The 14,493-nt window shown below is 41.2% G+C and overlaps 1 protein-coding gene and 1 long non-coding RNA gene across 4 annotated transcripts in view, besides 1 other annotated feature; both read left to right on the top strand.

Annotated features, from left to right (window-relative positions):
- Positions 1–14,493, top strand: part of DNAAF4-CCPG1 (DNAAF4-CCPG1 readthrough (NMD candidate)) — a 143,362-nt gene that overhangs the window by 17,257 nt on the left and 111,612 nt on the right. The window contains exon 4 of the long non-coding RNA NR_037923.1: positions 14,167–14,398. This is a non-coding gene — a long non-coding RNA (DNAAF4-CCPG1 readthrough (NMD candidate)). The remainder of the gene's footprint in view (positions 1–14,166; positions 14,399–14,493) is intronic.
- Positions 1–14,493, top strand: part of DNAAF4 (dynein axonemal assembly factor 4) — a 90,480-nt gene that overhangs the window by 26,907 nt on the left and 49,080 nt on the right. For all 3 annotated transcript variants that reach the window (NM_001033560.2, NM_001033559.3, NM_130810.4), the window contains exon 5: positions 14,167–14,398. In NM_001033560.2, coding sequence (NP_001028732.1) covers positions 14,167–14,398 — 232 coding nt within the window. The remainder of the gene's footprint in view (positions 1–14,166; positions 14,399–14,493) is intronic.
- Positions 5,180–5,259: an enhancer, noted in NCBI's record as "active region_9448". NCBI's record gives its function as "activates an Ori minimal core promoter by ATAC-STARR-seq in GM12878 lymphoblastoid cells {active_cell/tissue: GM12878}" and the evidence as "EXISTENCE:reporter gene assay evidence [ECO:0000049][PMID:35858748]".

Raw genomic sequence — 14,493 nt, 5'->3', positions numbered from 1 at the left:
TTTTAGAGGCCTGGTCAGCTAATTTTGGGGCAGCATCCCTTACTAATCCTGATTGGTTGATATGAAAACAGTGCTTTCCCTCTAGGAAAAGATATAAGCCACTTTTTTCAGCAGTTAGGAGATCCAGTCCCTGTATTAGTCCATTCTCACACTGCTAATGAAGACATACCCAAGATCGGGTAATTTATAAAGGAAAGAGTTTTCATTGAGTCACAGTTCCACATGGCTAAGGAGGCCTCAGGAAACTACCAATCATGGCAGAAGACACCTCTTAACAGGGTGGCAGGAGAGAGAATGAGCACCAGCAGGAGAAATGCCATAAAACCTTATAAAACCATTAGATCTTGTGAGACTCACTCATTATCATGAGAACATCATGGGGGAAACTGCCCCCATGATTCATTTACCTCCACCTGGTCCCACCCTTGACACGTGGGGATTATTACAATCCAAGGTGAGATTTGGGTGGGGATACAGAGCCCAACCTTATCAGTCCTCTTCTGTTTTGTAAAGTGACTGCCAAAGAGTCTACCTGATTTTGTAAGGCATACTTTGGGCAGTGTCTTCCAAGCCGTCTGAAAGCTCCTTGGACAAGCGTTGGTAATAGGATAGAGAAGTTGGAAGCCCACTATTTCCTGTTTCTACGCCTGCAGTTATTCGTAACCCTACCTGAAAGGGTATGAGTTGGGTGGCTTGTTTGTGCCTGATGGTTGCAGTTAAAGGTATAATGAGAGACTGGTTATTGGGAGCTATATTGATCTCGGGGGCTAAGTAAACAAGTGTGCAGTGCAAACAATTGGTTCCAGTCCATTTGGCTAGTAAACGTAAGTAGGAACTAGTCCCACACAGGAAAAAGGCTGCTTGTTTTTCAAGACAAAAATTGTTCTCTATGATGAACATGTAGGTTAGCTTGTTGTTTTCCTTTTCCCAAGTGGTTAAGGTCCCTGCTACAGTGGCCCTGGTTAAAGGCTGGAGGGGGCCTTGGGTATCGGGGGATCCCACCCCCAGTATTTCAACGTAGGTTCTTTCTGTTTTCCATAAGTGTTGGCCAGCTGAGAAATAAAGAGAGACAGTATAAAGAGAGGAATTTTACAGCTGGGCCATCGGGGGTGACATCACATATCGGTAGGACTGTGATGCCTGCTTGAGCCTCAAACCAGCAAGTTTTTATTAAGGGTTTCAAAAAGGGGGTGTAAGAACAGGGAGTAGATACAAAGATCATATGCTTCAAAGGGCAACAAGCAGAACTACTAATAAGGGTGTAACAAAGATCACATACTTCTGAGGGAACAGGACAAAGGGCAAAAGCAGAACTACTGACAAGGGTCCAACAAAGATCACAAGGCAAAGGGCAAAAGCAGAACTACTGATAAGGGTCTATGTTCAGCAGTGCACATATTATCTTGATAAACATCTTAAACAACAGAACACAGGATTCAAGAGTAGAGAACTGGTCTGACCACAAATTTACGAGGGTGGAGTTTTTCCCCCACCCTAGTAAGCCTGAGGGTTCTGCAGGAGACCAGGGCGTATCTCAGTCCTTATCTCAACTGCACAAGACAGACATTCCCAGAGCCCAGAGCGGCCATTTATAGACCTCCGCCTAGGAACACATTCCTTTCCCAGGGTATTAATATTAATATTCCTTGCTAGGAAAAGAATTTAGCGATATGTCTCCTACTTGCATGTCCATTTATAGGCTCTCTGCAAGAAGAAAAATGTGACTCTTTTTGCCTGACCCCACAGACAGTCAGACCTTATGGTTGTCTTCCCTTGTTCCTTAAAAATTGCTATTATTCCGTTCTTTTTCAAGGTGCACTGATTTCATATTGTTGAAACACACATGTTTTACAATCAGTTTGTACAGTTAACACAATTATCACAGTGGTCCTGAGGTGACATACATCCTCAGCTTACGAAGATAACAGGATTAAGAGATTAAAGTAAAGACAGGCATAAATTATAAAAGTATTATTTGGGAACTGATAAATGTCCATATTAAAATGAAATCTCCCAATTTATGTTCCTCTGCTGCGGCTCCAGCCAGTCCCTCCATTCGGGGTCCCTGACTTCCCGCAACACTTGGGAAGTACTCTGAGTTGCCCAAGTGGTTTTGTTCTCTCAGTTTAGGTGGTTATGCTTAGTGTCTACCAGCCAACACCCAGAGCTATTTTTGTACTGGGGGACTAAAAGGCAACTAGATGTCTCAGGATTAGTATAGCCTTCCCAGGGGAAAATGTGCATACAGCTAGTGGGCCTACCCTGACAGTACTTAGACTGCATATCCTTTAAAGTAGCCTTAACTAAGGGTGGTTTTCATGAAAACCATACAAGTTTTCTAAATGATGCAGTCTGGGTAACTGCATAGCTTACATGATCAGATAAGAGGTTAATCTCTAGGGGGTGGTTGCATTGAAGATATTTCAAGGTACTCAGGGCTTGACCAAAATTTTGGCTTCTTTTAATACAAAGTGGTGCCTGGAATTTTAGTTCTGTGTGCATCGATATTGGGCCCCTAATGGGTTTTTGAGGGGATGCAACTCCAGAAAGGTTGATTTGATAGGACTGGAGAAGGTTTACTGCTTGTCTTGTCATTGTAACCTTTGTCATTTCCGTAATTTTGAAGTCAAATATGTCATGCAGGTTCATTAAATTGAAGGGAGTTCTTCTCTTATAGTTGGAGATTTGGGTGGGGATATTTTCTCAAGGGCCCAAGATTGGGCTGGGATTGGGATAGCAGTGTGTTTGACTTCAGCTTAATTGGATGTTGTTTTTGGTTGGGATAATGACTGGGTCCTTTAAGCTGTATGTTGACTGGCACTGCCATTCTAGCCCTTCCAGGCCTCCCAGTATACCATGCTAGCAGGTTGACCTGTTTGTTGACATGGTCCAGAACGTTGTCTGCATCACTGACCATTAGCACCCAGGCAGTGCTTAAATTGTAGCAGTGCCCCTATTTTAACCATAAAATCTCTTCTGAACAAGGGGACTGGGCAGCTTGGTACTATTAGAAACCCCTGCTGGAAAATTTGTTTTTCAAATTGGCAGGTTAAAGGAGGGGTGAAATGCCTGACTTTATTTTTTCCTTCATTTCCTATAACAGTCATTGTCCTAGTGGAGGGCTTTCCTGCATAAGCAGTAAGTACAGAGTAACTTGCCCCTGAATCAAAAAGAAACTGAATTTGTGTACCCGTTGTGTCCAGAGTTACTCAGGGATCCTCAGTAGTAATGATGATGTTCCTGGACAGGGGCAGTGAGGAAGGCCCTGGGCCCCTTCAGTCTTCATCTAGCTCCTGCTTTTGCACTGCTAGAGTCTTAACTGACTGAGCTCCTCCGTGGGAGCTGGGGCAGTCAGTCCTCCAGTGCTGGGGTTACAGGCACCTGCCATGATGCCCAGGTAATTTTTTAATTTTTTTTTTTTTTCAGTAGAGACAGGTTTTCACCATGTTGGCCAGATGGATCTCAAATTCCTGACCTTAAATGATCCACCTGCCTCAGCCTCCTGAAGTGCTGGGATTTATAGGTGTGAGCTGCCACACCCAGCTAGGAGTGACAGCTTCTAAGCTCTTTACATGTCAAAGCCTAAACTGATGTTCCTATGTTAATTTTTTACCTATATAGATAAAAAACATGCACATATATGTGTATATATGTATATATATATATACACACACACACGCATACATACATACATACTTACATATATTTTTAAATATTTTTAAAATTTATTTTTCAGTGGTTGTTCTGTGTTCCTTTAACTGATCACAATCTACTTCAGGTTAATACTGACTCAGTTCCAGTAAAATATAGCAACTTGTTCTAATATAACTCCATTTTCTACTCCTCCCTTTGGTCTATTAGTGCCATTCAGGTATGTGTATATGCATATATATTTGTTGTAATCCCAACAATATGTGTTATGATTTTACATTAAAAATCATTATTTCTTAAAAAATCTTAGGTTTTTAAATAAATAAAGAGTAGAAAGCAAAAATATATATATTGTCTTTTTAAAAAGTTTATTTTCTAATTGTGGTAAAATATAACTAACATACAACTTACCATCTTTAAGTATACAGTTCCATGGCATTAAGTATATTGACAACCATCACTACTAACCATCTCCAGAACTCTTTTCTTTTTTTATTTTTTTTTTGAGTTGGAGTTTCATTCTGTTGCCCAGGCTGGAGTACAGTGGCGTGATCTCAGCTCACTGCAACCTCTGCCTCCTGGGTTCAAGTGATTCTCCTGCCTCAGCCTCCTGAGTAGCTGGGATTACAGGCGTATGCCACCACGCCCGGCTAATTTTTTGTATTTTTAGTAGAGACGGGGTTTCACCATGTTGGCCAGGCTGGTCTTTAACTCCTGACCTCAGGTGATCCACCCGCCTTGGCCTCCCAAAGTTCGGGGATTACAGGCGTGAGCCACCATGCCTGGCCCTCCAGAACTCATTTCGTCTTGCACAATTAAAACTCTGTACCCATTAAACAATAACTCTCTATTCTCTATCCTCCCAGCCCTTGACAGCCACCATTCTACTTTTTCTATGAATTTGACTATTTTATGTAAAAAAAAATGACTTATTTTACTTCATGTAAGTGGAATTATACAATATTTGTCCTTTTGTGACTGTTTTATATTTTTTAGCATACTTTGTCTTCAAGGTTCATCCTTGTTTTAGCTTGTGTCAGAATTTCCTTTCTTTTTAAGGCTGAATCATGTTCTATTAAAACGTATAGAACACATTTAAAAAAATCTGTTTGTATTGTCTTTTACGCTTACCCACATATTTACCATTTCTCATACTCTTCATTCTTTCTTGTAGGTATGAATTAGTTAATATCTGGTATCATTTTCCTTTCCTTTCTCTTTTAAGAGATAAGGTCTCACTCTATTGTACAGGTTGGAGTGCAGTGGTACATTCATAGCTCACTGTAACTTCAAACTCCTGGTCTCAAGCAGTCTTCCTGCCCCAGCCTCCTGAGTAGCTGGGACTACACGCACATGCCACCATGCCTATCTAGTAAAGATGGGGATACTCTGTGTTACTCAGGATGGTCTTGAACTCCTGGCTTCAAGCGATCCTCCTGGCTTGGCATCCCAAATCACACCTGGGATTGCAGGTGCGAGCCACCTCCCCATGCCCTGCCCTTTTTTAAAAAAGTGTATCTTATAGAGCAGGTCTATTAGCAACATACTCCCTCAGTTTTCATTTGTCTTGGAAGGTATTTTGCTTTCACTTGTGAAGAATAGTTTTGCTAAATATAGAATTTGTGGTTTATAGTTCTGTTTTTTTCTGTCGGTACTTTGAACATGTCATTTCATTGTCTTCTATCCATTGTTTCATGAGAGCCTTAAAAGGTGATAGGGTCACCATGCATCCGTAGCTCTCTCATTTACATAATCTTTCCATTAAATTTCTGACTGCTTAAGCACTTATCCTAACCAGGATCTCAACCTCAGACCAACTGCAAAGTTTTCCTCTTTATTCCCAACCAAGCCTAGCACTTTTATCCACCAAAGCTACAGGTTTTCACTGCCCTACCCGGAAATGAGCCCACCCTTTTTAGCAACAAACTGCTAGGTTCTTTTTGGTAGTTTCATGTTGGTATGGGTTGAGCATTTATGATCAAAAAATACAAAATCTGAAATGCTCCAAAATCTGTAACTTTTGAGCACCAACACAATGCTCAAAGGAAGTGTTCACTGGAGCATTTTGGATTTCAGATTTTTGGAGTAAGGATGCTCAGCCAGTGTGTATTCTGCAAGTATTCCAAAATCTGAAAAAAATCCAAAATCTGAAACACTTCTAGTTCCAAGCATTTTGGACAAGGGATATTCAGCCAGTAAAATTGCCAGGCTCATCATCCTAGCTGGGAGGGGGTTTTAGGAGCAACCTCAGGCCAAAGGGCACAGCTTCTTACCTTTCATACTTAGAACTTTAGCAGCTTTTCTAGACTAAAGACTTTTCTCTTTGTAGTCTTCTTTTGGTTAATTTCCAGTCCCCTGAAATGGTTGTTTTTGATAATTTTATCCAGTTTTATCCTTAATATTTGTGGAGGGGAATTGCCAACCTCTTCATGTTGCCACAAAATCTGCATGTTGTCTTTGCAGATGAATTTTATATTTACTTATCAAGTTTCCTAAGAAGTCCTCTTGGTATTTTGATTGAATTTACATTGACTTTGTAAATTTGCAGCGCATCAACATACTTATAATATTGAGATTTCCCTCCAGGAACATGGCATTTATCTCCATTTATTTGGATATACTTTACATCTCTCAGCAAAATTATTTAACACACATATATGACTTGCTTATATATTTTTTGTTTGTTTGTTTTGTGTTTGAGACGAAGTCTGTCTCTGTATCCCAGGCTGGCGTGCAGTGGCGCGATCTTGGCTCACTGCAACCTCCACTTCCCAGGTTCAAGTGATTCTCCTTCCTCAGCCTCCAGAGTAGCTGGGATTACGGCGTGCGCCACTGCACCTGGCTAACTTTTTGTATTTTTAGTAGAGACGAGGTTTCACCATGTTGGCCAGGCTGGTCTTGAACTCCCAACCTCAGGTAATCCGCCCACCTCAACCTCCCAAAGTGCTAGGATTACAGGCATGAGCCACCGCCCCTGGCCTTATGACTTGCTTATATTTTGCTAAGCTTATTCATTTATGTTTTTCTGGTGATTGCTGATGAAATTAACGTTTCCATTGTAGTTTCTAATTATTTATTGCCAGTTTGTAGGAAAGTAAGTTTGTTTTTATAAGTTTGTATAAGTTGATCTTTTTTTTTCTTTTGAGATGGAGCCTCACGCTGTCGCCCAGGCTGGAGTGCAGTGGCATAATCTTGGCTCACTGCAACCTCCGTCTTCTGGGTTCACGCGATTCTTCTGCCTCAGCCTCCTGAGTAGCTGGGACTACAGGCATGCACCACCACGCCTGGCTAATTTTTATATTTTTAGTAGAGACAAGGTTTCAACATGTTGGCCAGGCTGATCTTGAACTCCTTACCTCATGATCTGCCCACCTCGGCCTCCCAAAGTGTTGAGATTATAGGCGTGAGCCATCGCGCCCAGCTAGTTGATTTTATATGTGACTGCCTTGCTGAACTTACTTTTGGTTTGTCAGTTTATTATTTTGGTTATTTTAAGTAGTGTACTATTATTTGCAAATGATGCAATTCTATCTCCTTGTAATCTATATTTGTATTTCTTATTTTTAAAAGTTTATCATTTAGGTTCTGACCTCTAGGAAAATAGTAAAACATTAGGTATACTTGCCTTAGTGATTTTGCTGGAAATATTTCTAATATTTCTTTTATTTTTTATTTTTATTTTTTTGAGACGGAGTCTTGCTCTGTGACCCAGGCTGGAGTGTAGTGGCGTGATCTAGGCTCACTGCAACCTCCACCTCCCAGGTTCAAGAGATTCTCCTGCCTCAGCTTCCCGAGTAGCTGGGACTACAGTTGTGTGCCACCACGCCCAGCTAATTTTTTTATTTTTTGTAGAGATAGGGGTTTTGCCATGTTGGCCAGGCTGGTCTCGAACTCCTGACCTCAGGTGATCCACCTCCCTCGGCCTCCCAAAGTGCTGGGATTACAGGTGTGAGCCACTGCGCCCGGCTATTTCTAATATTTCGTCATGAAGTATAACATAGTCTTGGTCCTTCTATCCAGCTTATAAATTTTTATTTCTTATTTTTATTCCCAATATCAACTGACATTTTGGCATACACTGACATCATAATGCTTTTCTCTATTGATTTCCTAATACCTTAAGTAAGAAAGACCCTATTTGATCAAGGTGTATTATAATTTTAATATTTTCCTAGGTTAAGTTACCCCTATTTGATTAAGGTGTATTATAATTTTAATATTTTCCTAGGTTAAGTTACCCCTATTTGATTAAGGTGTATTATAATTTTAATATTTTTCTAGGTTAAGTTTGCATATATATATATATACACACACACATATATATACACACATATATATACACACATATATATACACACATATATACACACATATATATACACATATATATACACATATATATACACATATATACACATATATATACACACACATATATATATATACACACACACATATATATATATATATATATATATTTTTTTTTTTTAGGTTTTTTTTTTGTTTGTTTTGAGGTGGCCTCTCACTCTGTTACCCAGGCTGGAATGCAGTGGCGCAGTCTCGGCTCACTGCAACCTCTGCCTCTTGGGTTTAAGCGATTCTCATGCCTCAGCCTCCCGAATAGCTGGGATTACAGGTGTGCGCTACCACACCTAGCTAATTTTTGTATTTTTAGTAGAGATGGGTTATCACCATTTTGGCCAGGCTGGTCTCTAACTCCTGACTTCAAGTAATTTGCCTGACTCGGCTTCCCAAAGTGTTGGGTTTACAGGCGTGAGCCTCCATGCCGGGCTGAGTTTGCTAATGTTTTATTTACAATTTTTGCATGTAATTCACAAGTGGGATTGGCTTATAAAGAACAATGCCTTGTTGACCAGACATTCATTCTAGATTAAAAGAATTATACATTTCCTCTTCTTCAAAAATTTAGTGTAGGAACTATTCATTATTCTCGTATTAGTTTTATTTGCTGTCTGCATTAAACTAATAACCTGTAGTAAATGGCATCCTTTTTTGAACAGTACAAACACCTAAAACCCAATTTGTTTATTTTATTTTTTTTGAGAAGTCTCACTGTGTCACCCAGGCTAGAGTGCAGTGGGGCGATCTTGGCTCACTGTAACCTCTGCCTCCGAGATTCAAGTGATTCTCCTGCCTCAGCCTCCCAAGTAGCTGGGATTACAGGTGTATGCTACCACACCCACCTAATTTTTGTATTATTAGTATAGATGGGGTTTCACCATGTTGGCCAGGTTGTTCTTGAACTCCTGACCTCAAGTGATCAACCTGCCTGGGCCTCCCAAAGTGCTGGGATTTCAGGCATGAGCCACTGCCCCCGGGCCTCCAGTCCTTTATGTACGATGATTATTATTTTAGCCTTCTGAGTTTTTCTGTTACTGCATATTCCTCCGTGTGTCTTCCCTGTATTAGATGATTTTTCTTTGAAAGACCTTCAAGGATTGTTTAATATTTGTCGGTGTCTGTGTTAAATTGTGTGTTTCCTATATTAGATGATTTTTATTTAAAATATCTTTAAGAGCTGGGCACGGTGGCTCACGCCTGTAATCCCTGCACTTTGGGAGGTTGAGGCGGGTGGATCATTTGAAGTCAGGAGTTTGACACCAGCCTGGCCAACATGATGAAACCCTGTCTCTACTAAAAATACAAAAATTAGACGGGCATGGTGGTACACACCTGTAATCCCAGCTACTCAGGAGGCTGAGGCAGGATAATTGCTTGAACCCGAGAGGCGGAGGTTGCAGTGAGCGAAGATCGTGCTACTGCACTCCAGCCTGGGTGACACAGCAAGACTCCATCTCAAAATAAGTAAGTAAATAAATAACAAAATATCTTTAAGAATTGTTGGCTGGGCGTGGTGGCTCACGCCTGTAATCCCAGCACTTTGGGAGGCCGAGGCGGGCAGATCACGAGGTCAGGAGATCGAGACCATCCTGGCTAACACAGTGAAACCCCATCTCTACTAAAAATACAAAAAATTAGCCGGGCGTGGTAGTGGGTGCCTGTAGTCCCAGCTACTCGGGAGGCTGAGGCAGGAGAATGGCATGAACCCGGGAGGTGGAGCTTGCAGTGACCCGAGATCGTGCCGCTGCACTCCAGCCTGGGCGACAGAGTGAGACTCCATCTGAGAAAAAAAAAAAAAAAGTTTAACATTTGTCCATCTCTTTATGACATCATAAAAAATATATATTTGGTCCCTGCCTCTTGTTATTAGCATAGAGCTCCTAAAACCCATGTAATTTTCTGAGTGATGGGGTGCTAGGTTCATCTTTTGTTAAATTATTTGGATTTTGACCCAGGTTCCTGACACAGAGCTCCTAATCCCTTGGAATTTCCTATGTAATAGGAAAATCTTTTGTTCTAATGAGGCAACTCTTGATGGGCTCTTGGGTGGTGGCTGGCCACCAGAAAGACCAAGCTATGACTAGTTGTCTGGAACTTGCAGCACCCCTCCCCATCATTTTGATAGGGGCTGGAGACTGACTTAATAATCAATCATGCTGGGTCCACTGGCTTACGCCTGTAATTCCAGCACTTTGGGAGGCCGAGGTGGGAGGATCGCTTGAGCCCAGGAGCTCAAGACCAGCCTGGGCAACATAGATAGTGAGACCCTGACTCTAAAAACAACAACAACAAAATTAGCCATTCGTGGTGCTGCGGGCCTGTGGTCCCAACTACTTGAGAGGCTGAGGTGAGAGGATCACATGAGCCTAGGAAGTGGAAGCTACAGTGAGCTAAGGTTGTGCCACTGCACTCTCCAGCCTGAGTGACAGAACAAGACCTTGTCTCAAAAAAAAAAAAAAAAAAAAAATCCGCCAGGCATAGTAGCTCATGTCTGTAAATCCCAGCACTTTGGGAGGCTGAGGTGGGTAGATCACTTGAGCCCAGGAGTTCAAGACCAGCCTGGGCAGCAAGGGAAAACCCCATCTTTACAAAAAAATAACATAAAAAATTAGTCAGGCTTGGTGGCATGTGCCTGTGTCCCAGCTACCTAGAAGGCTGAACTGGAGGATCGTTGGAGCCCAGGAGGTTGAGGCTGCAGTGAGCCATGATTGCGCCATTGCACTCCAGCCTGGGTGACAGAGCAAGACCCTGTCTAAAAAAAAAAAAAAAACCCAGTCATGCCTGCTAGATAAAACCTCCATAAAATTCCTGTAACTATGAGGTTTGGAGAACTTCTGGGTTGCTGAACACTTGGAGGGAGAAGGCATGGAAACTCTGTGCTCCTTCCCCGGTATCTTTCCCTAGACATCTCTTTCATTTGCCTCTTCCTGATTTGCATCTTTTTATTAAAAATGGGTAAATATGGCTGGGCGCGGTGGCTCACGCCTGTAATCCCAGCACTTTGGGAGGCCTAGGCGGGTGGATCACCTGAGGTCAGGAGTTCAAGATCAGCCTGGCCAACATGGTGAAACCCTGTCTCTACTAAAAATACAAAAATTAGCCAGGCGTGGTGGTATGTGCCTGTAGACCCAGCTACTCAGGAGGCTGAGGCAGGACAATCACTTGAACCTGGGAGGCGGAGGTTGCAGTGAGCCGAGATCGTGCCACTGCACTCCAGCCTGGGCAACGGAGTGAGACTCCGTCTCAGAAAAAAAAAAAAAGGGGTAAATATAAGCGAGGTATTTATCTGATTCCTGTGAGCCATTGAAGCAAATGGTCAAACCTGAGGAGGGGGTTGTAGAAACCCCCAACTTATAGCTGATTGGTTAGAAATATGGGAGTCCTGGACTTATGATTGGCATCTGTGTGGAGACTGTCTTATGGAATTGAGCCCTTAACCTGTGGGATCTAATGCTAACTCCGGGTAGATAATGACAGAACTGAATTAGAGGACACATAGCTGATGTTAGAGAATTGGTAAGCATAGGCCGGGCGCAGTGGCTCACGCCTGTAATCCCAGCACTTTGGGAGGTCAAGGTGGGCGGATCACGAGGTCAGGAGATCGAGACCATCCTGGCTAACACAGTGAAACCCCGTCTCTACTAAAAATATAAAAAAAAAATAAATTAGCCAGGTGTGGTGGCAGACACCTGTAGTTCCAGCTACTCGGGAGGCTGAGGCAGGAGAATGGCATGAACCCAGGAGGCGGAGCTTGCAGTGAGCCGAGATTGCGCCACTGCACTCCAGCCTGGGCGACAGAGTGAGACTCCGTCTCAAAAAAAAAAAAAAAAAAAAAAAAAAGAATTGGTAAGCATAGGAGAAACCCACAAGTTTCGTGATGGAAGTGACCTATGGAGTGTTGTGAGAGTATATAAGAGGCATAAACAGTTTGTTTTTTCTCTGTACACTCTGTTTTTCTTTTTCTTTCTTTCTTTCTTTTTTTTTTGAGAGGAGCCTCGCTCTTGTCCCCCAGGTTTGAGTGCAATGGCTTTATCTCGGCTCACTGCAACCTCCACCTCCCAGGTTCAAATGATTCTCCTCCCTCTGCCTCCCAAGTAGCTGGGATTAAGGGCCTGCCACCAAGCCCGGCTAAATTTTGTATTTTTTAGTAGAGACAGGGTTTCACCATGTTGGCCAGGCTGGTCTCGAACTCCTGACCTCAGATGATCCACCTGCCTCAGCCTCCCAAAGTGCTGGGATTTCAGGCGTGAGCCACCGCGCCCGGTCACTGTACACTCTGTTTTTCTTTGGTACATGTAGTCTCTTTTCTCTTTATCATAAGCTTTGTGTTATTTTCTTCTTCATGTTTTTCTCTTCATTGTAGTTCCTTCTGTTACCTACTCTGTGAAGCCTTTCTTGGTTTCTCCTCTTCATCACTACTCTCTGAAGAGCTGGACTATTTCTGTCTCTAATATAGCTTATTATAAATTATCATTATACCTATAGTTCCCTTAACTACATCTTGGCTATAATACCAGAACTTTCCTGTTATTTTTTGTTGTAAGAACAGTCTCATTTTTGGTAATTAAGACTTAGTCTTATGCATTTTAAAAACTTCATGTAAAATTCATTCTTCTTGCAGGGAGTATGATGGGTGAGGGTGTCTGACTCTCCACATATTCTCCCTTTTTCATGTGTTGGGGCAGAGAGTGAAAAAAGGCAGACATATAATTAGGCTGGGTGAAGTCGTCTTTTAGGTTGTGGCTTCCTCTCTAACATGGAGTGTTCATCATGCCTTATTGTGAGGCATTTAAATTTTGTTTCATTGCCATGTGTAGATTCTTCCTGGTTCAATCTGTTGGCAGCTTACTGGCAACTCTCTGAACTAAGAATATATAGTAATAATTAGCATATTTTGTGCTTAATTTAAGCCTGAGGTAAAATTGGGACTACAGGAAATTTTCATTCAGTGTCCCGTGAAATTTATTTTAAAGTCAGCATCTCACAGGAAAATAATCAGTCTTCTAGAAGAGAGTATTATGTCATGTAGATATTACAGAGCACCTTTCAGTGCACAGGTTTCATACTCGTAATGTTAAATCTCTATTTTAAAGTAATACAACATTTAGGGACCTTCATCCTAGCATATCCATAGTCTAGAACCACTTCAGATGTCCTATTTAAATGTAAATTAATTTAAATGTACATTAATGAAACTTAAATAACATTAAAAATTCAGTTCCTGAGTCTCAGTAGCCACATTTGAAGTACTTAATTAGCCACCTGTGGCTAGTGGCTACTATATTGGATAGCACAGACATTTTGATCATTGAAGTAAGTGCTTCTCTAGTGGATAGAGGTAAGAAATTTTTCTTACCATAGGAAAGTCAGATACATGGAGTCAATCATGTACACCAACTAGGTACTCTGTTTCACAAGGTTTTTTTTCTTGCCCATGTGAGGGAAGTTTGAAAGGCAGAAAAGTTGCCACACACCTGTACAAGATACTGCTTTCAAATTCATCTGATATTTAGCTCTTTGAAAGTGTCAGACAACTACTAGTGCAAACATAGGTTTTGCAGCAGGATTAAGACTTCAAATATTTCCACCCAGCAGAGACAGACCGTCTTGTTCATCCTTCCTATTTCCTTTTCTACTGTTCCCTCTTCCTTCAGTCCTTAGGACTGAAGGGTTGGCACAACTTCGGTTGACAGGGTAAGACTTGGGATAAGTTGAAAAGCAAATGTTTGAATATATGTGTTGGGATGTGTGTGTGTGTGTGTGTGTGTGTAGATTTTGAGAGAAGTGGCTTAACTCCTAGAATAATAAATTTCTATTATTTTTTCTACCAAGCCCTTAGGTATCATCTAATTGAATGCCTGCCCACATTTTACATATAAGTAAACTGAGGTTGGAGAAAGTGATTGCCTAAGACCATACAGCTAATGGTAGATCTGGGACTAAAATCTTTGTTCCATGACTCCAACACCAATGGTTTTTCTCCTGAATCATTTACCTTTCCCATTTTAATTCATAATTCACTACTACCTATTGTTACAAATACAATGGCAAGAGTTTAGAGGTATGAATAACTAATTATTGTAATGAATTTCTCATTTAAATAAATGTTGCTTTTATGTATTTTAAAGAATTTGGTAATTGCAATTGTTATAGATTGAAGAAGAAGAGAGGAAAAAAATAGAAGATATGAAAGAAAATGAACGGATAAAAGCCACTAAAGCATTGGAAGCCTGGAAAGAATATCAAAGAAAAGCTGAGGAGCAAAAAAAAATTCAGAGAGAAGAGAAATTATGTCAAAAAGAAAAGCAAATTAAAGAAGAAAGAAAAAAAATAAAATATAAGAGTCTTACTAGAAATTTGGCATCTAGAAATCTTGCTCCAAAAGGTAAAATGATTAAGAATTTCTTGAGTAGTGAGTCCTGTTGGTGAAGTATATATGACGCTTTTCTTTTTTTGTAAATCTATTCACAGCATTAGGTT

The sequence above is a fragment of the Homo sapiens genome, chromosome 15 (assembly GCF_000001405.40).
Source record: "Homo sapiens chromosome 15, GRCh38.p14 Primary Assembly".
Lineage (NCBI taxonomy): Eukaryota > Metazoa > Chordata > Mammalia > Primates > Hominidae > Homo > Homo sapiens.
This window is presented reverse-complemented; position numbering and strand designations above follow the sequence as displayed.